At 44.8% G+C, this 24,227-nt stretch overlaps 1 protein-coding gene across 8 annotated transcripts in view; it reads left to right on the top strand.

The window, feature by feature from the left end:
- The window catches only part of PECAM1 (platelet and endothelial cell adhesion molecule 1), a 71,446-nt gene that overhangs the window by 4,582 nt on the left and 42,637 nt on the right, over positions 1–24,227 (top strand). For all 8 annotated transcript variants that reach the window (XM_017024741.2, XM_047436251.1, XM_017024739.2 and 5 more), the window contains exons 3-6: positions 8,162–8,455; positions 10,923–11,228; positions 16,254–16,529; positions 22,882–23,130. In XM_017024741.2, the coding sequence (XP_016880230.1) occupies positions 8,162–8,455; positions 10,923–11,228; positions 16,254–16,529; positions 22,882–23,130 (1,125 nt within the window). The remainder of the gene's footprint in view (positions 1–8,161; positions 8,456–10,922; positions 11,229–16,253; positions 16,530–22,881; positions 23,131–24,227) is intronic.

Here is a 24,227-nt window from a genome sequence, read left to right as displayed (position 1 = left end):
CACGAACCACCATGCCCGGCTAATTTTTGTATTTTTAGTAGAGACAAGGTTTTGCCATGTTGGCCAGGCTATTCTCAAACTCCTGACCTTAAGTGATCCACCTGTCTTGGCCTCCCGAAGTGCTGGGATTCATTCTAGAACATTTTCAACACCCCAGAAACAAGTCCTGTTGAGTCCACTCAGGAGATCCCCAGCCTATCCTTCCCTCATCCCCACTGCACCCGCCTAGCTCAGGCCTCATCAGCTTTCACCTGAACCACTTCCAAGCTGTTTACTGGCCTTGGGTGCTGTCACACCCCTCCTGACACCCTCAGGACAGGGCCCAGCTTGTCAGCACAGCAGGCCAGCCCTCCATTCTGGCACGACAGACCCAGCCACCTGGCCTCTCTAGCCCCACACTCTGGTTTCTGTAATGGGCCATGCCCAGAAGGCACGGATTTCTCACACCCTCGTGTCCTGGGACACGCTGTTCTCTTACCTGGAGTACCCCACTGCCTGTCCTTGGCCTGGCAGGCTCAGTTCAGTGGTCACTTCCTTCAGACTCCTTGACCTCTCCTGGGCAGCCCTTCCTCTTGGTGCTTACTGATATCACTGGAGTCCAGCTATGTGGGCCCCAGCAACCTTTGCTGTTTGGGACAGCAAGGATGATTTCTTACTTACTCTGTCAGCCCAGCACCTGGCACAGGTTCTCGACACATGTCTCATTGGATGGGAACTTGAACTGAACTTGGAGATGCTTGAGATTCGGGTAGGAAGATGGCTCAGCATGCTCTCTGATGAGCACAGAAGTTCATCAGGGACTCTATGCTTCGTGGCTCCCAGTAATTTTCCTGACGAGGGTGGGCAGCCCCTCCTTCTCCTGCACCCTCCACTTTCTCTCTGAGTCATTTCCAGGTTGAGGGCCAGGGGGCTGGCTGACTGATGGTGCCGCATGTTTCCAGGGAGCACCACCATCCACTGATGAGTGGCCTTGAGGTCAAGGTCCCACTGTTTTTAGCATGTTGGGGTTTGGCACTGTGGTCACTGGCTGTTCCGTGGTGACTTTCCAAATTTAGATCCTTCTCCGTCAACCTTCATCTCCCCGGGTTGAAAAGATCTGACCTCTTTAGGCTGTCCCACAGCCCCACCCTTCATCACAATAGTCCTGAAACTTTTTGGGTTCAGTAAGGAAATCTGTGGGCCTTCTCTCCAGAAAAAGCACACATTTGCACACAATTGGAGGTAGTTGATGAGCCTCCTAACACCCACCCATGCACCTCCCAGGGGCTGTGTCCCCCAGGTTGTGAACAGTCACTCTGTGTAAATAGTGAGACCTACAGGCAGTAATTCAGTTTGGCTGTGCTTGGCTGGTTTATTTAGAAAGATGATAATGTTTTCCATATTATCAAAACAAGAATCAGGCAGAGACTTTTGAAGTTTGGTTGCGTGGTATATTTGTTACCTATTGCTGCATAACAATTTACCTAAAACTTACTGGCTTAAGATAACACAGATTTATTATCCTGAAGTTTCTGAGGGTCAGGAATGCAGGAGTGGCTGAGTTGGGTGGTGCTGGCACCGGGTCTCATTAGATTGCAGATAAATTGTTGGTCAGGGTTGCGGTTATCTGAAGGCTTGACTGAGTCTGGGGAATCTGCTTCCAAGCTCACTCCTGTGGCTATGGGCTGGAGGCCTTAGTTCCTCATCCTGGGTACCTTCCACAGGGCTGCTTATGCTATGACTGCTGGCATTCCCCAGAATGAGGGATCCCAGACAGGAGAGAGAGTGATCAGGATAAAAGCTGCATTGTCTTTTATTACCTGATGGAGTATTTTGTTGGTTAATGTTAACGTGGGAGGTGACCACGTGTAAGTGTGATGAGCAGAGGGCAAGGACCATTGGGGGGGGCATCTTGAAGGGCTTCTATAGCAAGGGAGGTGGTGGTGGTTGTGGCGGTAAAAACTAGGTCACTGTTTTTGTTGTTTTGTCGATGATATTTGTGTTAAGATGAAGAGCTGAGACTCATATCTCAACAGAGTTTATAAAATGCTTTTCTTTTTTCCATCCTGCCCTCTCTTCTCCCTTGTCTGTTCGAGCTAGCCATGGGAATGTGGTGTTCCTGCCAGTGCATCCATTGAGTTCGTTTATTGTTAATTTATTTATTTTCTGAGATGGAGTTTTTGCTCTATTGCTCAGGCTGGAGTGCAATGATGTGATCTTGGCTCACTGCAACCTCTACCTCCTGGATTCAAGTGATTCTCCTGCCTCAGCCTCCTGAGTAGCTGGGATGACAAGTGCCCGCTACCATGCCCGGCTAATTTTTGTATTTTTAGTAAAGGCTAGGTTTCACCATGTTGGCCAGCGGGTCTCGAACTCTTGACCTCAGGTGATCCACCGACCTAGGCCTCCCAAAGAGCTGGGATTACAGGTGTGAGCCGCCACACCCTGCCGAGTTTGTTTATTTGAGCAGATAATGTGTGTTAGAGTTGCTTAGAAAAACAAGATGGTGGACGGGCCCCATGCTAGTGGGTACCATCCCTACTGGAAAAACCACTGCTTGGTGCATTAGCCAAATTTGCTTTAAAATTGTTTTTTAAAAAGGGAGGGCTTTTATAAAAATCAAATGAACTAGGACTGGTTAGTGGGAGGCTCACGCAAGGGTTGTGCTGAGGCTGGAAGGCCCAGAGTAGGAAGAGTTGTGGAGTGCAGAATGAGCTCTCCAAGGGCAGACACTGCCAGCCTCACTGTTCTCTGAACCCCCAGTATGGGGGACAGTGCTTGGCACAGAAAAACCCCCTTAAATGTTTGCTATGAATGGTGCTAAGGAAGAAGGCAGAGAATGTCAACCAGAGGCCAGGCACTGGGCAATATATACACGGCCCCTTCTGTGCCCTCAGCCACTTTGGCGCAGTCACTGTTTAGGTTAAAGATACCAGAGAAGGCAGGTATTCATGTTCCTACTTCGTAGGCAGAGACGTGGTGGCCCAGAGAGGTTAAATAACTCCCGAGATCACCCAGCTAAGCACTGTGGGATCACGGGTTTGAATCTGGTATGTCTGACTCCCTTCTGTACCCAGCACTGTCTGCTGGTCTAGGGCATAACCAGCCAGGGATGGGCAGCTCGTTCAGTAAACAGGAGAGCAGATGAATGACTCGTGTGGAGAGCACGCAGTGGAGTGAGCAAAACTGGGAGGCTGGAGAAGTCGCTTTAAATTAACCTGAAAATGTTTAATATGCTTTTTATTTTGTTTATTTTTTTTGAGATGGAGTCTATCTTTGTTGCCCAGGCTGGAGTGCAGTGGTGCAATCTCGGCTCACTGCAATATCCACCTCCCAGGTTCAAGTGATTCTTCTGCCTCAGCCTCCCGAGTAGATGGGATTACAGGCAACTGCCACCACGCCTGGCTAGTTTTTGTATCTTTAATAGAGATGGGGTTTCACCATGTTAGCCAGGAGGCTGGTCTCGAACTCCTGACCTCAAGTGATCTGCCCAGCTCAGCCTCCCAAAGTTCTGGGATTACAGGCATGAGCCACCACGCCCAGCCTTAAATATGGTTTTTATTTGAAAAAAAAAAAAATCCCTAGAAACATGTAGTGGAGACACAGCTTTAAAGCTCTGAATAGTTGATTTTCAGCTCATGCCTGTAATCCCAGCACTTGGGGAGGCTGAGGCGGGATGATTGCTTGAGGCCAGGCGTTTAAGAATAGCCTGGACAACATAGTAAGACCCCATCTCTAAAAAATTAAAATTAAAAAATAAAAAAAGAGTCGACTTTATTTCTGTAACTGGAAGAATCTAGCTAACATTTCTCAAGCACTTTATAGGTGCCAGGAACTCTACTTTAAGTAATTAAACTCAGGTTCTCATTTATACTTACATTCCTTGTGCCTATTGTATGGATAAGCAAACTGAGGCTCAGAGAAATTTAGGGACTTGCCAAAGGTCACACAGCTTTGTTAGTAGCAGAGATGAGATTTGGCCCAGGTCTGGCTCCGTGCACTTGATTTCTGCTCTTTAGTATCTCCTGGTTGAGTCACTGGAATACACAGCATAGCTTAAAATGAAGGAGGAAGTACTGAAGAGGTAATGGAAGGAGACCTAACTGTCTCTGAGAGGGAAGAGAGTGGTTGGGAGGGAACTATATTAATTGAGGAGTGCAGAGAAATTAATATGGTCCAAAGGAAAAAAAGGTTTTTTTGAGATGGAGTTTTGCTCTTATTTCCCAGGCTGGAGTGCAATGGCATGACCTTGGCTCACTGCAACCTCTGCCTCCCAGGTTCAAGCAGTTCTCCTGCCTCAGTCTCCCAAGTAGCTGGGATTACAGGCGCCCACCACCACACCCGGCTAATTTTGTATTTTTAGTAGAGATGAGGTTTCACCATGTTGGCCAGGCTGGTCTTGAACTCCTGACCTCAAGTGATCCACCCGCCTCGGCCTCCCAAAGTGCTGGGATTACAGGCATAAACCACCGTGCCCGGCTGGTCCAAAGAAAGTTGTGTGTCGAGAGCTCATCCAGCAGGCTTCTTAAATCAGGAGCTTGTAAGTTGCATATAAAGACAAAAAAGGGAGTTCCAAAGAGTAATGCTGTGGGAAATGACTTGAATTTAAACCGTCACCTTGTTTCATCTCATGGACTGGTCAGACACCATTTTTGTTGTCGTTGTTGTTGTTAAATTAATTGCTCAGAATATAGCAGCAGGCGCAAATTGTAGTACTCGTTTTAAAATTGAAGATTAAATTTTAAATTACCCAACAAAGGCCTAACTTTGTTAAAAGAGAGGGAAAGGACAGGTTCTGCCAGTATCTCTGGCCAGCTAGCTAACTAACTTTTTTCTTATTCCAAAAAAATGACTTGGGACCACTTATAAAAATTATGTATTGTTCAATGAGATACAATTAATGAGGAAATCAGGATGAGAGAAAAATAAAGGCAGGGAAATAAAGCTATGGCCCATTTAGCACAAACGCATCCCAAAGATTGCTAGAAGCAGAGGTGAAATTTTTGCTGTGTGTTAACAATCAAAGCAAAAAGAGGAACAAGGTCCATTAGAACATTCTCAGAATCCACAAGATAGAAATGAATCAGTTGTTCAGCATAAACACAGTGTTTCCTGGTGCTGTTGGAACACTTTGTGAAATTAGGGACAATATCTCATCAACATCCCAGACCAACATCCCAAAAGACCATTTAATAGCTTGCATCTGTGCTTCTCCCTACCCCATAGCCCCTCCCTCCAGAGATGACCACTATGCTGACTTGTAAAATATTAATCTTATATCCAGCCACCTTTCTTTTTCGTTTGTTTGTTTGTGTTTTTGCAGACAGAGTCTTATTCTGTCGCCCAGTGCAGTGTTGTGATCTCAACTTACTGCAACCTGTGCCTCCCAGGTTCAAGTGATTCCCCTGCCTCAGCCTCCCAAGTAGCTGGGATTACAGGTGCATGCCACAATGCCTGGCTAATTTTTGTATTTTTGGTAGAGACGGGGTTTCACCATGTTAGCCAGGCTGATCTCGAACTCCTGGCCTCCCACAGTGCTGGGATTACAGGTGTGAGCTGCCATTCCTGGCCTTATCCAGCCACCTTTCTAAACTCACATTTATTTCTAATAATTTGTCTGCAGACTCTTTGAGGTTTTTACATATCATGTCATCTGTCTTTGAGAGTTTTAAACATTGGACTGCTCCATTCACTCAAAAATTTTAAAAAATTCCATGATTGCATTATTCATACTTCATGGAGATAGATGGGGGGCTAAGAAAGCATACCAGACATAGTCACTTTCAATCCCAGGTCCAAATGCTGGATAGGTAGCTTCCTTGAGAATGGGCATGGTAGAAATTTCTGGGGGGACGTGTAGGGATTTGGGAAAAACACCTGGTTTTATGGTCATGGACTTTCAGTACATTTTTTTCCAAATCCCCTACAGATCAATTACTTTTTCTCTTTTTTATACTTATTTAATTTTTTTTAGATGGAGTTTCGCTCTTGTTGCCCAGGCTGGAGTGCAATGGCGCGATCTCAGCTCACTGCAACCTCTGCATCCCGGGCTCAAGCGATTCTCCTGCCTCAGCCTACTAAGTAGCTGGGATTACAGGCATGTACCACACCCGGCTAATTTTGTATTTTTAGTAGAGACAGGGTTTCACCATGTTGGTCAGGCTGGTCTTAAACTCCTGACCTCAGGTGATTCACCCACCTTGGCCTCTCAAAGTGCTGGGATTACAGCCGTGAGCCACTGCGCCTGGCCTCTTTTCTTTCTTTTTTTTTTTTTTGAGACAGGATCTCACTCTGTCACCTAGGCTGGAGTGCACTGGCATGATCATGGCTCACTTCAGCCTCGACCTCCCAGGCTCAGGTGATCCTCCCACCTCAGCCTCCTGAGTAGCTGGGACTACAGACACATGCCATCATGCCCAGCTGATTCTTTTGTATTTTTGTAGAGTCAGGGTTTTGCCATGTTGCCCAGGCTGGTCTCGAACTTCTGGGCTCAAGCGATCCTCCTGCCTCGGCCTCCCAAAATTCTGGGATTACAGGTGTGAGCCACTGCACCTAGCTTCATCCATATTTTTTTTAGCCATGTATAGAACATGAGATGTTTGAAGTTGTTTTCTGACAGGAATTTGGAGAGTGAATATTTTATGGTGCTGATTAAACCCAGATTCATGTGCTTGGAAAAGACAACCACAGGGAAGCTAGTGAGTGCTTTGAGATATGTCAAGGGGTAAAACTAAGACCACAAGTGGGCTGCAGAAGCACCTACAGGCATTGCCAAGAGGATCTCCAAAAAGCAGTTCACCCTGGTCTGCTCTGAAGTTTGGATACAAGTCCTGACCCATGGGCATGGTTCAGGATCTTCTAGCCTGGAAAATTTTCAGGGCAGTTGCCCACAACCAACCAACTGACAAAAACACAGCAATAGCTAGAGAGCACCCAATTTTAAGCAATCCACCCTTCCGTCAGCCTGCTACTGTGAATGAGCCTCAATATGTGATCTGTAGTTAGCTGAATTCTATTGACAGCCTATGGTTACTGGATATAAGCCAATTCTGTTCTGGGGACTTGCCAGAAATGACACAATTGGCCAGTTGACCCACAGCCTAGTTCCTAGCAGAGATTGGATAGCTGATTGAGCATTGTGGCTGTTTTGAGGCTTGACCAGAGATTCCTGCCGTTGGCAGAGGGGAATCTGTAGTCTTTGCTTCTTGGTAGCAGGTGAGGCTGAAAACGCAAGTAGCAGGCTAAAAACTGGTTTCAAGTCCTCACCATCTGGTGAAACCTCAGAGCCCATCAGATAGAAAATGCCAGCTGGGACTGTGCTAATTCGGTAAGGCCTGGGTGGAGAAGGAGGGCCTGGGCACGACCATCTGGTTTCGGAATGGAGGTAGCAGTCATTTATTAAGCACTTAATGTATATCGGGCACTGTACAGGAGACGTTCTGGCTGTTCTCCTGTACATTTCCTGCAAAGACCTAATGAGATATGATTACTCCATCCTACAGGTAAGGAAACTGAGCTCAGAGAGTCTAGCTGCCCAGGGTCACACAGTAAATGATGAGCCAGGACTTGAACACTTGACTGCTTGAATCCTGTACTCCCTCCAGGGGCCAAGATGTGGCAGCTCACAGAATGCCTATATCTTTTTTTTTTTTTGTCTTTTGAGACAGTCTCACTCTGTCGCCCAGGCTGGAGTGCAGTGGTGAGATCTCACCTCACTGCAACCCCCGCCTCCCAGGTTCAAGTGATTCTTGTGCCTCAGCCTCTCAAGTAGCTGGGATTACAGGCCTGCACCACCAAACCTGGCTAATTTTTGTATTTTTAGTAGAGAGGGGGTTTCACCATGTTGGCCAGGCCAGTCTCTAACTGCTGACCTCAGGTGATCCACCCACCTTGGTCTCCCAAAGTGCTGGGATTATAGGCGTGAGCCACCATACCTAGCTCTACATCTTTATCACACTCTGTTCCTTTGCCTTGGTGGGAAAAGTTGCAGCTTAGTACCAACTGCCTCCTGCTTGAGCCACTGTGCACAGTTACTATCAGCCTGGCCCTGTAGGCACGTAGAACCCCTGGACTCAATACTGCATAGGATGGGATAAGACCACATCTGATGTGGTGAAGGTCACCGGGATGATGTTGTTTCTGAGATAACAGGTATGTCTGCCTTCCTTCCCTTTGCATTTAGCTTTCACAATCAACAGTGTTGACATGAAGAGCCTGCCGGACTGGACGGTGCAAAATGGGAAGAACCTGACCCTGCAGTGCTTCGCGGATGTCAGCACCACCTCTCACGTCAAGCCTCAGCACCAGATGCTGTTCTATAAGGATGACGTGCTGTTTTACAACATCTCCTCCATGAAGAGCACAGAGAGTTATTTTATTCCTGAAGTCCGGATCTATGACTCAGGGACATATAAATGTACTGTGATTGTGAACAACAAAGAGAAAACCACTGCAGAGTACCAGGTGTTGGTGGAAGGTGAGTCCTTGGAACTGAGCACAGGCAAGCAGATGGAGCATAGCACACAGTGGCGTGAATAACAGCTGTGAATGAATAGTGACACTGGACTTAACTCTCCACCCATCACCCTCTCATTCATCTGCCTGGCATTTTCCTTACCTGAATACGTAAGCACTAGACATATTCCCAATAGGCCAGGCCCTTCCTTCCTTCCTTCCTTCCTTTCTTTCTTTGATGGAGTCTCACTCTGTCACCCAGTCTGGAGTGCAGTGGTGTGATCTCGGCTCACTGCAACCTCTGCCTCCCAGGTTCAAGCGATTCTCCTGCCTCAGCCTCCCAAGTAATTGGGATTACAGGTGTGTGCCACCACACCTGGCTAATTTTGTATTTTTAGTAGAGATGGGGTTTCACTGTGTTGGTCAGGCTGGTCTCGAACTCCTGACCTCAAGTGATCCACCTGCCTTGGCCTCCCAAAATGCTTCTTCATCTCGTCTCATAAATTAAAATTTCTTCTTCAAGACTCAACTCAATGATGTCTTCTCTTTCCAAAACAAAATGGGTCTACCCCAGGGTGCCAGTCAGTACAGCTCTGATGCTCTCTCTACATTCAATGGTATTTGTGTGTATAAAGGCCACAGCGGTGTGTTAAGACACCTCGTTCTGCAGTCACTCTGCCTGGGTTTCAATCTGGGCAAGTCCCTTAACAGCTCTAAACTTCAAAATCCTCACCAGTAAAAGGAAGATAACAACGATACCCATTTCAGGCAATTATTGAGAGGGTTAAAAGTGTCATGTGGGTAGAGTGCTTAGCAAAATTTCCAGCACCTAGTGAGTTCCTAATAAATAGAAATGTATTTATTTATTTTGAGACAGAGTCTTCCTCTGTCACCCAGGCTAAAGAGCAATGGCGCGACCTTGGCTCACTGCAACCTCTGTCTCCTGGGTTCAAGCGATTCTCCTGTCTCAGCCTCCCAAGCAACTGGGATTACAGGCACGCGCCACTGTGCCTGGCTAATTTTTTGTATTTTTAGTAAGGATGGGGTTTTACCATGTTGGCCAGCCTGGTCTCGAACTCCTAACTTCAAGTGATTTACCCACCTTGGCCTCCCAGAGTGTCAGGATTACAGGTGTGAGCCACCATGCCCGGTCCACAAATATTCTATTTCACTCAGTATTGCCATCCATTCTTACACATCTGTCTGCTCTTCTGGATAGTGAAATTGTAAAGACAGAGATGGTGTTTGGTTTATTCTTATATCTTGAACAATGAATGTGGCTCATAGTAGGCATTCAGTCAATGTTCATGGAATAAATTAAAGTCAGTCCTAGCCTGTGGCTGCATTCAATAAAGGGTAACAACAATCACAGTGACACTGACAAATACTGGCTACCTTTCCCCTCTAAGCATCATCTGTTGGGAATCTGATTGTGTCCTCTTCCCAATAGGATTATAAACCATTGAAAACACCAAGTACATCTTGACCATATTTTATTTTTTAAATTTATTTATTTATTTATTTATTTATTTATTTATTTTTAGACAGAGTCTCACTCTGTTGCCCAGGCTGGAGGGCAGTGGCACGATCTCAGCTCACTGCAACCTCTGCCTTCGGGGTTCAAGCAATTCTCCTGCCTCAGCCTCCCAAGTAGCTGGGATTACAGGTGCCTGCCACCATGCCCGGCTAATTTTTTGTATTTTTAATAGAGATGGGGTTTCGCCATGTTGGCCAGGCTGGTCTCAAACTCCTGACCTCAGGTGATCCACCTGCCTCAGCCTCCCAAAGTGTTGAGATTACAGATGTGAGCCACCTCGCGTGGCCTTAGTGGTGATTTTGGTGGACCCATCACCCGAGCAGTGTACACTGTACCCAGTGTGTAGTCTTTTATCCCTCGCTCCCTCCCACTCTTTCCCCTGAGTCCCCAAAGTCCACTGTATCATTCTTATGCCTTTGTTTCCTCATAGCTTAGCTCCCATTGAGCATATTTTATATTTTTTCCTTTCTTTTCTTCTCTTTTTTGAGACAGGGTCTCTGTTGCCCAGGCTGGAGTGCAGTGGTGGGATCACTGCTCACTGCCGCCTCAACCTCCTCGGCTCAGGTGATTCTCCCACCTCGGCCTCCCAAGTAGCTGGGACTACCAGTGCACACCACTAACTACCCCTGGCTAATTTTTAATTTTTTTTTTTGTAGAGATAGCATTTCACCGTGTTGCCCAGGCTGGTCTCCAACTCCTGGGCTCAAGAGATCCACCCACCTCAGCCTCCAGATTTTATATATTTCAAAGTGCCTAGTACTGTGCTGGGCACATACCTGTTCATTTATTACCTGGTAGGTCGCACTGGGTGTTCAGAGAACAAAAAAGAGCCCTCTCATGGGTCAACTACAGTCACTCAGCGGAGGGAGGCTTGTGTCTCTCAATCAGGCTGATACTGACAGACTTTCTCTTCAATCAGGCTGATACTGACAGACTTTCTCTTTCCCCGTAGGAGTGCCCAGTCCCAGGGTGACACTGGACAAGAAAGAGGCCATCCAAGGTGGGATCGTGAGGGTCAACTGTTCTGTCCCAGAGGAAAAGGCCCCAATACACTTCACAATTGAAAAACTTGAACTAAATGAAAAAATGGTCAAGCTGAAAAGAGAGAAGAATTCTCGAGACCAGAATTTTGTGATACTGGAATTCCCCGTTGAGGAACAGGACCGCGTTTTATCCTTCCGATGTCAAGCTAGGATCATTTCTGGGATCCATATGCAGACCTCAGAATCTACCAAGAGTGAACTGGTCACCGTGACGGGTCAGCATCCTGCTCCCTTCCTCATCGTTCTTTGTGGTTTCTGGTTTGGTATGGGGAGAAAGAACCCAGAACTGGGAAGGGGCTGCTGTTCTCAGGACTTAAGACCTGTTCTTAATCATTTTAAGCCAGTATTTTTCAAGCTTTTTTGACTGTTATACAGTTAAATTGCATACAATTTTTCAGACAAGAGTTTCACCAACAACACTTTACTCTTAATATATATGATGCTTTTTGTTTGTTTGGCTTGGTTTTTGGGGTTTTTTTTTTGAGACAGAGTCTCGCTCTGTCGCCCAAGCTGGAGTGCAGTGGTGCAATCTTGGCTCAGTGCAGCCTCTGCCTCCCGGGTTCAAGCAATTCTTATGCCTCAGCCTCTGGAGTAGCTGGGATTACAGGCATGCAGCACCACACCTGACTAATTTTTGTATCTTTAGTAGAGATGGGGTTTCGTCATGTTGGCCAGGCTGGTCTCAAACTCCTGATGTCAGGCGATCCACCCGCCTTGGCCTCCCATAGTGCTGGGATTACAGGCGTGAGCCACCACCCCAACCTTGTGTGTGTTTTTGAGACAGGGTCTTGCTCTGTTGCCTGAGCTGGAGTGCAGTGGCATGATTTCAGCTCACTGCAACCTCCGCCTCCCAGGTTCAAGCGATTCTCCTGCCTCAGCCTCCTGGGTAGCTGGGATTACAGGGGCATGCCACCATGCCTGGCTAAATTTGTATTTTTAGTATAGACAGGGTTTTACCATGTTGGCCAGGCTGGTCTCAAACTCCTAACCTCAGATGATCTACTCACCTCGGCCTCCTAAAGTGCTAGGATTACAGGCGTGAGCCACCGTGCCCAGCCTATTTCAGTCTTTAAACACTGGCCATGACACACTACACTGATGCATTATGTGATCTGTAGTTTGGAAGCCACTGCTTTAAGCCATCGAGGGTCAGACACCAGGAAGTTGGGTTTGGAGGGGATCGGGAGGAAAGAGGGGCCAGGTCCTCAGCCTTGGCCTCCTGTTGTTCAACGTAGATTTGCGTTGGACAAACAGCAAACAAATGAGGTGGCCTGGGAAATGCTCCCAGGAGAGAAGGAGGCAACAGCAGAGGGAAGCTGGGGAGTGTCCAGGACATACAGGGCTCTAGGACAGGTAGTCAGCCACTCCCAGGACCCGGTCTCATTTGCCAAGCCGGGAGAAGTCAGGGGAAGGCACACCCATGTAGATATTTGCAAATATTTCCAAAATAGGAAACTTACATTTTGTCATAAATGGTCCCCTTCTTTTGGCATCCCACTTTATCCTGCCCATTGTGTGTATGTGTGTCTGTATGTTCTATTATCTGATTATAAAATCATGTGTGCTCTGGGTAGAATTTTCAGACAAAAGAGCAGGATATAAAGTATGTATATAAAGTGACAATCATTTATAATGCCTCTACTTAGAGAAAACCACACATGATCCTCTAGACTTTTTCTACATATATTTATATATCATATACACACCCAGCCACACACACACACACACACACACACACAGAAAAAACATCTTTTGTTTTTACAAAAGATGGGGACCTATCACACTATTTTACAGCTTTTTAAAAACCAGACAAAATCTTATGGACTTTTGTCCATATGAAGAAATATAGATCTATCTCATTTTAGAACTCAGAACTTGACTGTAGGGATGGGCCATCTCTGCAACCCTCAAACTCCTGGGCTTGAGTGATTTACCTCATCTTCTGCTGATGGATATTTAGGTATTTTTCTCAGTGTTTGCTATTACAACAATCCTGCAGTATAGATATTTGTACTTGTAACTTGTGTACTTTGGCAACTATTTTACTATTATTATTTATGTGGTTAATTCTTAGTAGTCAAATTGTTGAATCAGATGTTTTGTGCATTTTCTTTTTTTTTTATTTATTTATTTATTTATTTATTTATTTATTTGAGACAGAGTTTCACTCTTGTTGCCCAGGCTCGAGTACAGTGGCGCAATCTCAGCTCACCGCAACCTCCGCCTCCCGGGTTCAAGCGATTCTCCTGCCTCAGCCTCCCGAGTAGTTGGGATTAGGCATGTGCCACCACGCCTGGCTAATTTTGTATTTTTAGTTGAGATGGGGTTTCTCCATGTTGGTCAGGCTGGTCTTGACTCCCGATCTCAGGTGATCCACCTGCCTCAGCCTCCCAAAGTGCTGGGATTACAGGCATGAGCCGCCACACCTGGCCTGTGCATTTTCAGTTAAAAACTTCAGCATGAGGCCAGGCATGGTGGCTCACATCTGTAATCCCAGCACTTTGGGAGGCTGAGGCAGGCGGATCACCTGAAATCAGGAGTTTGAGACCAGCCTGGCCAGCATGGTGAAACCTCATCTCTACTAAAAATACAAAAATTAGCCAAGCGTGGTGGTGGGCACCTGTAGTCCCAGCTACTCTGGAGGCTGAGGCAGGAGGATCACTTGAACCTGGAAGGTGGAGGTTGCAGTGAGCCACCGTGTCACTGCATTCCAGCCTGGGTGACTGAGTGAGACTCCATCTCAAAACAACAACAAAAACTTCAGTATGAAAAACTTATCGTAAAATAAAAAGACAAATGACAAACTGGAGAAAATATTTGCATAGTACCTTTAACAAACAGCTAATTCCTTTAATTTATAAAAGGTTTGGCTGACTGTGCCTGGCTCGATGTTGCCAAAGTGCTAGATATTGCCAAAGTGCTCTTCAAGATGGTTGAACATTTTCATCAGTAGTGATGCTAGTGTTTGTTTTCCCACATCCTTACCAACAAACTTTTTCTTTCTTTCTTTCTTTTTTAAATAGAGATTAGGGTCTTGCTATGTTGACCAGGCTGTTCTCGAACTCCTGGCCTCAAGTGATCCTCCCATCTCGGCCTCCCAAAGTGCTAGGATTGCAGGCATGAGCCACTGTGCCTGGTCCTAACAGAGTATTTCAATGTTTTATTATTTTTGACAATCTAGTTGAGGTATAGTGATATATATCATTGTTGTGGTGATTTGTATTTCTTTAGTTTTTAGTGAGGTTGAGTTTGTTTATTCATCTATTACATTTTTTTCCCGTAAACCACCTATTCATATATGCCTTGTCATTTTCATTGTGAATCACAAAACTCCAGTGCCACAAAGAAACAAGATAGTTAAATTTGACTAAAGTCATTTTTATTGTTCCTGGTTGGATTTGTTCAAGCCCTTTATTTTATTTATTTATTTATTTTTGAGATGGAGTCTCACTCTGTCGCCCAGGCTGGAGTGCAGTGGCGCAATCTCGGCTCACTGCAACCTCCGCCCACCAGGTTCAAGTGATTCTCCTGCCTCAGCCTCCTGAGTAGCTGGCATTACAGGGGGCTGCCACCACGCCCAGCTAATTTTTGTATTTTTAGTAGAGACGGGGTTTCACCATCTTGGCCAGGCTGGTCTTAAACTCCTGACCTCGTGATCCACCCACCTTGGCCTCTCAAAGTGCTGGGATTACAGGTGTGGAGCACCGTGCCTGACCCCTTTATTTTATTTTAAAAAATATTTTATAATATGTTTTTTGAGATGGAGGGTCTCACCATTGTTTCCCAGGCTGGTCTTAAACTCCTTAGCTCAGGCAGTTCTCCTGCCTCAGCCTCCCAAAGTGCTGGAGTTGCAGGCGTGAGCCACCGCCCCTAGCTGAGCCTTTAATAAATTGATTAGCTATTTGTCAGTGATATTATGCAAATATTTTCTCTAGTTTGTCATTTTTCTTTGAGTTTTATGATAAGTTTTCCATGCTGAAGTTTTTAATCTTCATTTAGTCAAATTTACCTGTTCTGTTTCTTTATGGCGCCTCAGTTTTGTGATTCATACTTAAAGGTCTTCTGCATGTCAAGATTATTAAAGGAAAAAAACACACCCATGTTTTCTATTCCTGTGCTATGGTTTCATTTTTTTCCCTCTGCATTTAAATATCTGGTGCATCTGGAGGTGATTTGGGTGAAAGAAAAACACCCTTCAGCTATTATTAAGGTTCCCCAGAAGACCTAAAATTTGAGAGTCCTAAAGCATGTAAAGGATGCCTTCCCCTTTTTTACTTTTATTTGAGAAGGCAGGCTATTATTTTATGATAACTTCTAATTATGAATTGACTTTATAATGTTAAAAATCACTAATGAATATTAAAGCATTAGAGTACTCTAAGTTCACTATTAGCATTTTAAAGATATCCCTAATCTATATTTTACACAGTTGGAATCTGTGTATATATTCCAGTTTATGCCCTGGGCTTGTTTTTTTGTTGTAAGTGGAAACGAAAGCCTAGGACCTATCCCTACTTCCCTGAAGATCCTATGCCCTGGTTGGTATGTGATCTATACTTGATTAAAACTATTTTTCTTTTTAAATAGAGATAGGGTCTCACTATGTTGCCCAGAGGCTGTTCTAGAACTCCTGGGCTTCCTAAGTGTTAGGATTACAGGTGTAAGGCCCCACACTCAGGCAAAATTGTTTTTCAAACTGCATGAGTCATGAAATCAGTTTAGTGAGTGATGGCCAGCATTTTAAAAAATGAAATAGAAAAGACTAGAAGCCACTTTTTTGGAGGCATGCGATTATTTAAATATTCATTTCCATGAAGCAGCACGTTTCACAGAGCTGAACTTTTGAAAGCTATAGTATCTTCATGCTGAAATGCCAAGCTTCCATGAAGTGCTGAGAATAGCCTAGAAAACTCGTAGTGGGCAGGAGGAAGATCATTTCTAAATACTGTGGTTATTTCTGAAGTCCTCTGAAGGCGAGATCTAGAGAAGGTGTTTGGCCTTTGGGAAGCTTCAGAAACCCAGAGAATTGCAGTGAAGAAGCCTGAAGATGCAAGAGTGAGCGAGAAGGGAGGGAGTATGAGAGCAGCCAAGGCAAAAGTTCTAGAGAAGAAAGGTTGAATTTTTAAAGTTAGTTAGGAACAATAGAAGTTTGAAAAGGGGAAGCAGCAAAAAGAGCAGAAGAGGCTCCTCTTGCCCAGGTTTGCACCTGAGTCCAACCAGGTTGTCTTCCTCTCTTGCAGAATCCTTCTCTACACCCAAGTTCCACATCAGCCCCACCGGAATGATCATGGAAGGAGCTCAGCTCCACATTAAGTGCACCATTCAAGTGACTCACCTGGCCCAGGAGTTTCCAGAAATCATAATTCAGAAGGACAAGGCGATTGTGGCCCACAACAGACATGGCAACAAGGCTGTGTACTCAGTCATGGCCATGGTGGAGCACAGTGGCAACTACACGTGCAAAGTGGAGTCCAGCCGCATATCCAAGGTCAGCAGCATCGTGGTCAACATAACAGGTAGGGCTGCTGCTGCGGGAGGGTGTTGGCATATGGCGGGCTCAAGAGGCCACCATGCTGCAATCCAGCATGGCCAAAGAGAGCTGATACATTTCCTGCCCCTGCTTATCTGAATGAATGTGCTCAGATGGGGCTTTGGTGCTCGTGGGAAGAAACCACTGCAGAGCGAGTTAACAGTCTACTGTGCGTGTTGAGGGTACAGGCTCCGGCACCAAAGCTCAACCCTGCCGCTCACTGCTTCTGTGACCTTGGGTGAGTTATTGAACGTGCCGCAGCGCTGTGAGATGGTGATAATGACCTTTTAGGACTGCTATAATGATTAATGAGATAACTATACTGTAAGCATGAGCTGAGAGATTTGTACAGAGTAAGACTCTGAACACTGGTTAATGTTTTCATTACTCTGTTATATTTCTCCATCCCCTGTGACAAGCACTATGCTAGATCCCAGACGTGGGTCCTATGACAGGGCCACAAATGAGAAAGCATTAGTAAACTCAAAAATAATGATAACATGGCTGGGCATGGTGGCTCACGTCTGTAATCCCAGGACTTGGGAGGCCAAGGTGGGCAGATCACTTGAGGCCGGGAGTTCGAGACCAGCCTGGCCAATATGATAAAACCCCATCTCTACTAAAAATACGAAAATTAGCTGGGCATGGCAGCATGCCTGTAATCTCACCTACTCGGGAGGCTGAGGCACAAGAATCTCTTGAACCCGGGAGGCAGAGGCTGCGGTGAGCTGAGATTGCGCCACTGCACTCCAGCCTGGGCCACAGAGTGAGACTCTGTCTCAAAAAAAAAAAAAAAAAAAAAAAGAAATGACAATTACCCTTTGTTGAACATTGCATGATGGGTTTATATACATTTTCTTTTCTTTTTTTTTTTTTCTTTTTTGAGACAAAGTCTCACTCTGTTGCCCAGGCTGGAGTGCAGTGGCACGATCTCGGCCCACTACAACCTCTGCCTCCCAGGTTCAAGTAATTCTCCTGCCTCAGCCTCCCGAGTAGCTGGGATTACAGGTGCATGCGCCACCATGCCCTGCTAACTTTTTGTATTTTTAGTAGAGATGGGGTTTCACCATGCTGTCCAGGCTGGTCTCAAACTCCTAACCTCAAGTGATCTGCCTGCCTCGGCCTCCTAAAGTGCTGGGATTATAGGCATGAGCCACTGGGCTGGCCCAGGTTTATATATATTTTCATTTCATGCTCATAACAATTCAAGGAGATAGGCATAAGAATGTCCACTTTATGGATGTGGAAACTGAGACTGTGAGGTTAGTAACTCAACGAAGGATTACAGGGTTACCAAGGGGGTAGAACAAGAGTCACCCTCAGGCCTGTTTGGCTTTCAAATCCATGAACTTGAAAGTTCCCTCAGACTCCTAACCCTCCTTACCTGGCTTTATTTCCCTCTAAAGTACTTAGCACCAAAAATATACTCTACCTTTCTTGTTTATTATGTGTATGCAGCCACTAGAATGCAAGCCGCTGAGAACAGGAACATTATTTTGTTCAGTGCTATATCCTTAACACCTAGAACAGTGCCCGGCACACAGGAGGAATTCAATACATATTTGTTGGATGAAGGAATGAGTGTTAGATGACAATGTTTCAGGGGACAGAGACAGTCAGCACTTCTTGGTTGCACGGTGAAGGGGTTCTCATGTGTCTGCATTCATAACGTTCATTCATTCATTTGTTCAGTTATTTACTAAAAGCCTCCTATGTGTCAAGCATTGAGTGTGCAGTGTCAGCAACAGTCTCCAGCACCATAGGTAGGCTACCAACTACCCAACTGGTATATTGGCATATACATTGGGTCCTGCTGGTCTATAGTGTGTGCTAGCAATTTAGTTAAGTATTGATCATGACTTATATTTTGATGGCTCATGGTATTTTTTTACTGATACAATTTATATTATCTCATTAAAGAAAAGTACCAGTTCAACACATATTGAGCATTTTCTGTATGCTGGGCAACTTACTGGGGATAAAGAGCTACCTAAGACCCGGTTTTACCTATGAAGAATTCATAGACATAACTAGACCAGTCTACAGCATTTTGTGGTAGAAGCCCAGATGGACTGAGACATTCTGTCTCAGATACTTTCCCTGGATAACTTTCTCCAACAGGCCTTTCCATGATTCCCAAGGCTAGGTTCAGTGTCTTTTTTCTTTTCTTTTTTTTTTTTTTTTTGAGATGGAGTTTTGCTCTTGTTGCCCAGGCTGCAGTGAAGTGGCACTATCTCAGCTCACTGCAACCTCCGCCTCCCGGGTTCAAGCGATTCTCCTGCCTCAGCCTCCCGAGTAGCTGGGATTATAGGCATGCACCACCACACCTAGATAATTTTTGTATTTTTAGTAGAGACGGGGTTTCGCCATGTTGGCCGGGCTTGTCTTGAACTCCTGACATTGTGATCCGTCCACCTCGGCCTCCCAAAATGCTGGGATTACAGGTGTGAGCCACCACGCCCTGCCAGTTCAGTGTTTTTCCTATGGGGTCTGTGACAAATAATGCATCTGAATCAACCACTAAATGTAAGCACTTTGAAGTCAGAGACTGTTTCTTATTCACTGCTATCTCTCAGTGCCTAGCAAGGGGCCCGCCACAGAGAGAACCTGCAATAAATACTTGTGGGGTGAAATGAGTGAGTGAACAAATACATGAGTGAATGCATGAATCATTATTTGCTGCATTACAAGCTGCAAAACTTTTCTTTTGTTGCTTTTTTTTTTTTTTTGAAATGGAGTTTCAGTCTCTTTTTTTATTATTATTATACTTTAAGTTTTAGGGTACATGTGCACAATGTGCAGGTTAGTTACATATGTATACATGTGCCATGCTGGTGTACCGCACCCATTAACTCGTCATTTAGCATTAGGTATATCTCCTAATGCTATCCCTCCCCCCTCCCCCCACCCCACTACAGTCCCCAGAGTGTGATGTTCCCCTTCCTGTGTCCATGTGTTCTCATTGTTCAATTCCCACCTATGAGTGAGAAGATGCGGTGTTTGGTTTTTTGTCCTTGCTATAGTTTACTGAGAATGATGATTTCCAATTTCATCCATGTCCCTACAAAGGACATGAACTCATCGTTTTTTATGGCTGCATAGTATTCCATGGTGTATATGTGCCACATTTTCTTAATCTGGTCTATCATTGTTGGACATTTGGATTGGTTCCAAGTCTTTGCTATTGTGAATAGTGCCACAATAAACATACGTGTGCATGTGTCTTTATAGCAGCATGATTTATAGTCCTTTGGGTATATACCCAGTAATGGGATGGCTGGGTCAAATGGTATTTCTAGTTCTAGATCCCTGAGGAATCGCCACACTGACTTCCACAATGGTTGAACTAGTTTACAGTCCCACCAACAGTGTAAAAGTGTTCCTGTTTCTCCACATCCTCTCCAGCACCTGTTGTTTCCTGACTTTTTAATGATCGCCATTCTAACTGGTGTGAGATGGTATCTCATAGCGGTTTTGATTTGCATTTCTCTGATGGCCAGTGATGGTGAGCATTTTTTCATGTGTTTTTTGGCTGTATAAATGTCTTCTTTTGAGAAGTGTCTGTTCATGTCCTTCGCCCACTTTTTGATGGGGTTGTTTGTTTTTTTCTTGTAAATTTGTTTGAGTTCATTGTAGATTCTGGATATTAGCCCTTTGTCAGATGAGTAGGTTGCAAAAATTTTCTCCCATTTTGTAGGTTGCCTGTTCACTCTGATGGTAGTTTCTTTTGCTGTGCAGAAACTCTTTAGTTTAATTAGAGCCCATTTGTCAATTTTGGCTTTTGTTGCCATTGCTTTTGGTGTTTTAGACATGAAGTCCTTGCCCATGCCTATGTCCTGAATGGTAATGCCTAGGTTTTCTTCTAGGGTTTTTATGGTTTTAGGTCTAATGTTTAAGTCTTTAATCCATCTTGAATTAATTTTTGTATAAGGTGTAAGGAAGGGATCCAGTTTCAGCTTTCTACATGTGGCTAGCCAGTTTTCCCAGCACCATTTATTAAATAGGGAATCCTTTCCCCATTGCTTGTTTTTCTCAGGTTTGTCAAAGATCAGATAGTTGTTGATATGCGGCGTTATTCCTGAGGGCTCTGTTCCGTTCCATTGATCTATATCTCTGTTTTGGTACCAGTACCATGCTGTTTTGGTTACTGTAGCCTTGTAGTATAGTTTGAAGTCAGGTTGCGTGATGTCTCCAGCTTTGTTCTTTTGGCTTAGGATTGACTTGGTGATGCGGGCTCTTTTTTGGTTCCATATGAACTTTAAAGTAGTTTTTTCCAATTCTGTGAAGAAAGTCATTGGTAGCTTGATGGGGATGGCATTGAATCTATAAATTACCTTGGGCAGTATGGCCATTTTCACGATATTGATTCTTCCTACCCATGACCATGGAATGTTCTTCCATTTGTTTGTATCCTCTTTTATTTCATTGAGCAGTGGTTTGTAGTTTTCCTTGAAGAGGTCCTTCATGTCCCTTGTAAGTTGGATTCCTAGGTGTTTTATTCTCTTTGAAGCAATTGTGAATGGGAGTTCACTCATGATTTGGCTCTCTGTTTGTCTGTTATTGGTGTATAAGAATGCTTGTGATTTTTGTACATTGATTTTGTATCCTGAGACTTTGCTGAAGTTGCTTATCAGCTTAAGGAGATTTTGGGCTGAGACAATGGGGTTTTCTAGATATCCAATCATGTCATCTGCAAACAGGGACAATTTGACTTCCTCTTTTCCTAATTGAATACCCTTTATTTCCTTCTCCTGCCTAATTGCCCTGGCCAGAACTTCCAACACTATGTTGAATAGGAGTGGTGAGAGAAGGCATCCCTGTCTTGTGCCAGTTTTCAAAGGGAATGCTTCCAGTTTTTGCCCATTCAGTATGATATTGGCTGTGGGTTTGTCATAGATAGCTCTTATTATTTTGAGATACGTCCCATCAATACCTAATTTATTGAGAGTTTTTATCATGAAGGGTTGTTGAATTTTGTCAAAGGCCTTTTCTGCGTCTATTGAGATAATCATGTGGTTTTTGTCTTTGGTTCTGTTTATATGCTGGATTACATTTATTGATTTGTGTATATTGAACCAGCCTTGCATCCCAGGGATGAAGCCCACTTGATCATGGTGGATAAGCTTTTTGATGTGCTGCTGGATTTGGTTTGCCAGTATTTTATTGAGGATTTTTGCATCAATGTTCATCAAGGATATTGGTCTAAAATTCTCTTTTTTGGTTGTATCTCTGCCCGGCTTTGGTATCAGGATGATGCTGGCCTCATCATCCTGAGGGAGGATTCCCTCTTTTTCTATTGACTGGAATAGTTTCAGAAGGAATGGTACCAGTTCCTCCTTGTACCTCTGGTAGAATTCGGCTGTGAATCCATCTGGTCCTGGACTCTTTTTGGTTGGTAAGCTATTGATTATTGCCACAATTTCAGATCCCGTTATTGGTCTATTCAGAGATTCAACTTCTTCCTGGTTTAGTCTTGGGAGAGTGTGTGTGTTGAGGAATTTATCCATTTCTCCTAGATTTTCTAGTTTATTTGCTTAGAGGTGTTTGTAGTATTCTCTGATGGTAGTTTGTATTTCTGTGGGATCGGTGATGATATCCCCTTTATCATTTTTTATTGCGTGTATTTGATTCTTCTCTCTTTTTTTCTTTATTAGGCTTGCTAGCGGTCTATCAATTTTGTTGATCCTTTCAAAAAACCAGCTCCTGGATTCATTAATTTTTTGAAGGGTTTTTTGTGTCTCTATTTCCTTCAGTTCTGCTCTGATTTTAGTTATTTCTTGCCTTCTGCTAGCTTAAGGAGTTTCATTCTTGTTGCCCAGGCTGGAGTGCAGTGGAGCAATCTCGGCTCACTGCAATCTCTGTCTCCTGGGTTCAAGGGATTCTCTTGCCTCAGCCTCCCAAGTATCTGGGATTACAGGCGCCCACCACCATGCTGGCTAATTTTATATTTTTAGTAGAGATGGGGTTTCACCATGTTGCCCAGGCTGGTCTCAACTCCTGACCTCAGGTGATCCACCCACCTCTGCCTCCCAAAGTGCTGGGATTACAGGCATGAGCCACCACACCTGGCCACAAGTTGCAAAACTTTTCTAATCCTTGTCATTGAAATAAATTGGATTAACAAGAAAGGAAAACCTGCCATTGGAATCCTAGGCAAAGAATGAACCCTAGCTCCTTACTGGGGTGATCGTTAGGTACATGAGAAGCAAAGGAAAACTTTTTGCTGGAAGTTGGAAGTTGGTTCTGCCAAGAGCACCTGAGCCAAGGGCCTCTCCAGGAAGGGTCTTTAGGGTGGTGGCCAGACACATCTCGCTCCATTCCCACTCACTGTTTTTCAGAACTATTTTCCAAGCCCGAACTGGAATCTTCCTTCACACATCTGGACCAAGGTGAAAGACTGAACCTGTCCTGCTCCATCCCAGGAGCACCTCCAGCCAACTTCACCATCCAGAAGGAAGATACGATTGTGTCACAGACTCAAGATTTCACCAAGATAGCCTCAAAGTCGGACAGTGGGACGTATATCTGCACTGCAGGTATTGACAAAGTGGTCAAGAAAAGCAACACAGTCCAGATAGTCGTATGTGGTGAGTATATTGTTGCTGACTCAGAGGACATCCAGGGTTGAATGGGAGAAAGGAAATTTATCTGCAGCTGCCGCCCTCTCCGGTCTGAGCAGACTCAGGCAGGGTAAGAACTAGAGGGAGAGAAGTGCGAAATCAAAGGCCAAAGAAACAAGGAGGTATTCCTGCTCAGAACACTGATTCACTGATGATGATGTGGCCTCTGACTTGCTAAGATTCTGGCAAGATTCTGCCTCCTGGAGCAAGTACCCACCCAAAAGTTCAGGAAGGAAACACTACTTAGTCAATGTTAAACTTTTCTTTTTTTTTTTTTTGAGACGTGTCGCCCAGGCTAGAGTGCAGTGGCACGATAGCTCACTGCAACCTCTGCCTCCTAGGTTCAAGTGATCTCCTGCCTCAGCCTCCCAAGTAGCTGGGATTACAGGTGCCCACCACCATGTCTGCCTAATTTTTGTATTTTTATTTTTATTACTTTTATTTATTTATTTATTTATTTTTTTGAGATGCAGTCTCGCTCTGTCACCCAGGCTGGAGTGCAGTGGCACAATCTGGGCTCACTGCAAGCTCCGCCTCCTGGGTTCACGCCATTCTCCTGCCTCAGCCTCCCAAGTAGCTGGGACTACAGGCACCCGCAACCACGCCCGGATAATATTTTTTTGTATTTTTAGTAGAGATGGGGTTTCACCGTGTTAGCCAGGATGGTCTCCATCTCCTGACCTCGTGATCTGCCTGCCTCAGCCTCCCAAAGTCCTGGGATTACAGGCCTGAGCCACCACACCCGGCCAAGAATATCAAAATTCCATTTTTTAAATCTGTATCCTGGCTAACCCAAAAGGGTAAGACTTCCAGTGGACAGAATGTAGGTATTTGACCACCAGGAGCTGGGCTTCTCAGGCCTGAATGTGCATGCAAGACCTGGTTAAAATACAGGTTATGATTCAGTATTTTAGGCCCAGATGGGGCCAGGTTCTGCATCTCTAACTAGCATTTTGGTGATGTGGATGCTGTTGGTCTCTGGACCACACTTTGGGTGGCGAGATTCTGGTTGATTATAGAACTCCAGTCAAGTTGTCACTGTCACTATATTATTCAGTCACGAT

The sequence above is a fragment of the Homo sapiens genome, chromosome 17 (assembly GCF_000001405.40).
Source record: "Homo sapiens chromosome 17, GRCh38.p14 Primary Assembly".
Classification (NCBI taxonomy): Eukaryota; Metazoa; Chordata; class Mammalia; order Primates; family Hominidae; genus Homo; species Homo sapiens.
The sequence above is the reverse complement of the archived record's forward strand: the minus strand, read 5'-3'. Positions and strand labels throughout refer to the sequence as shown.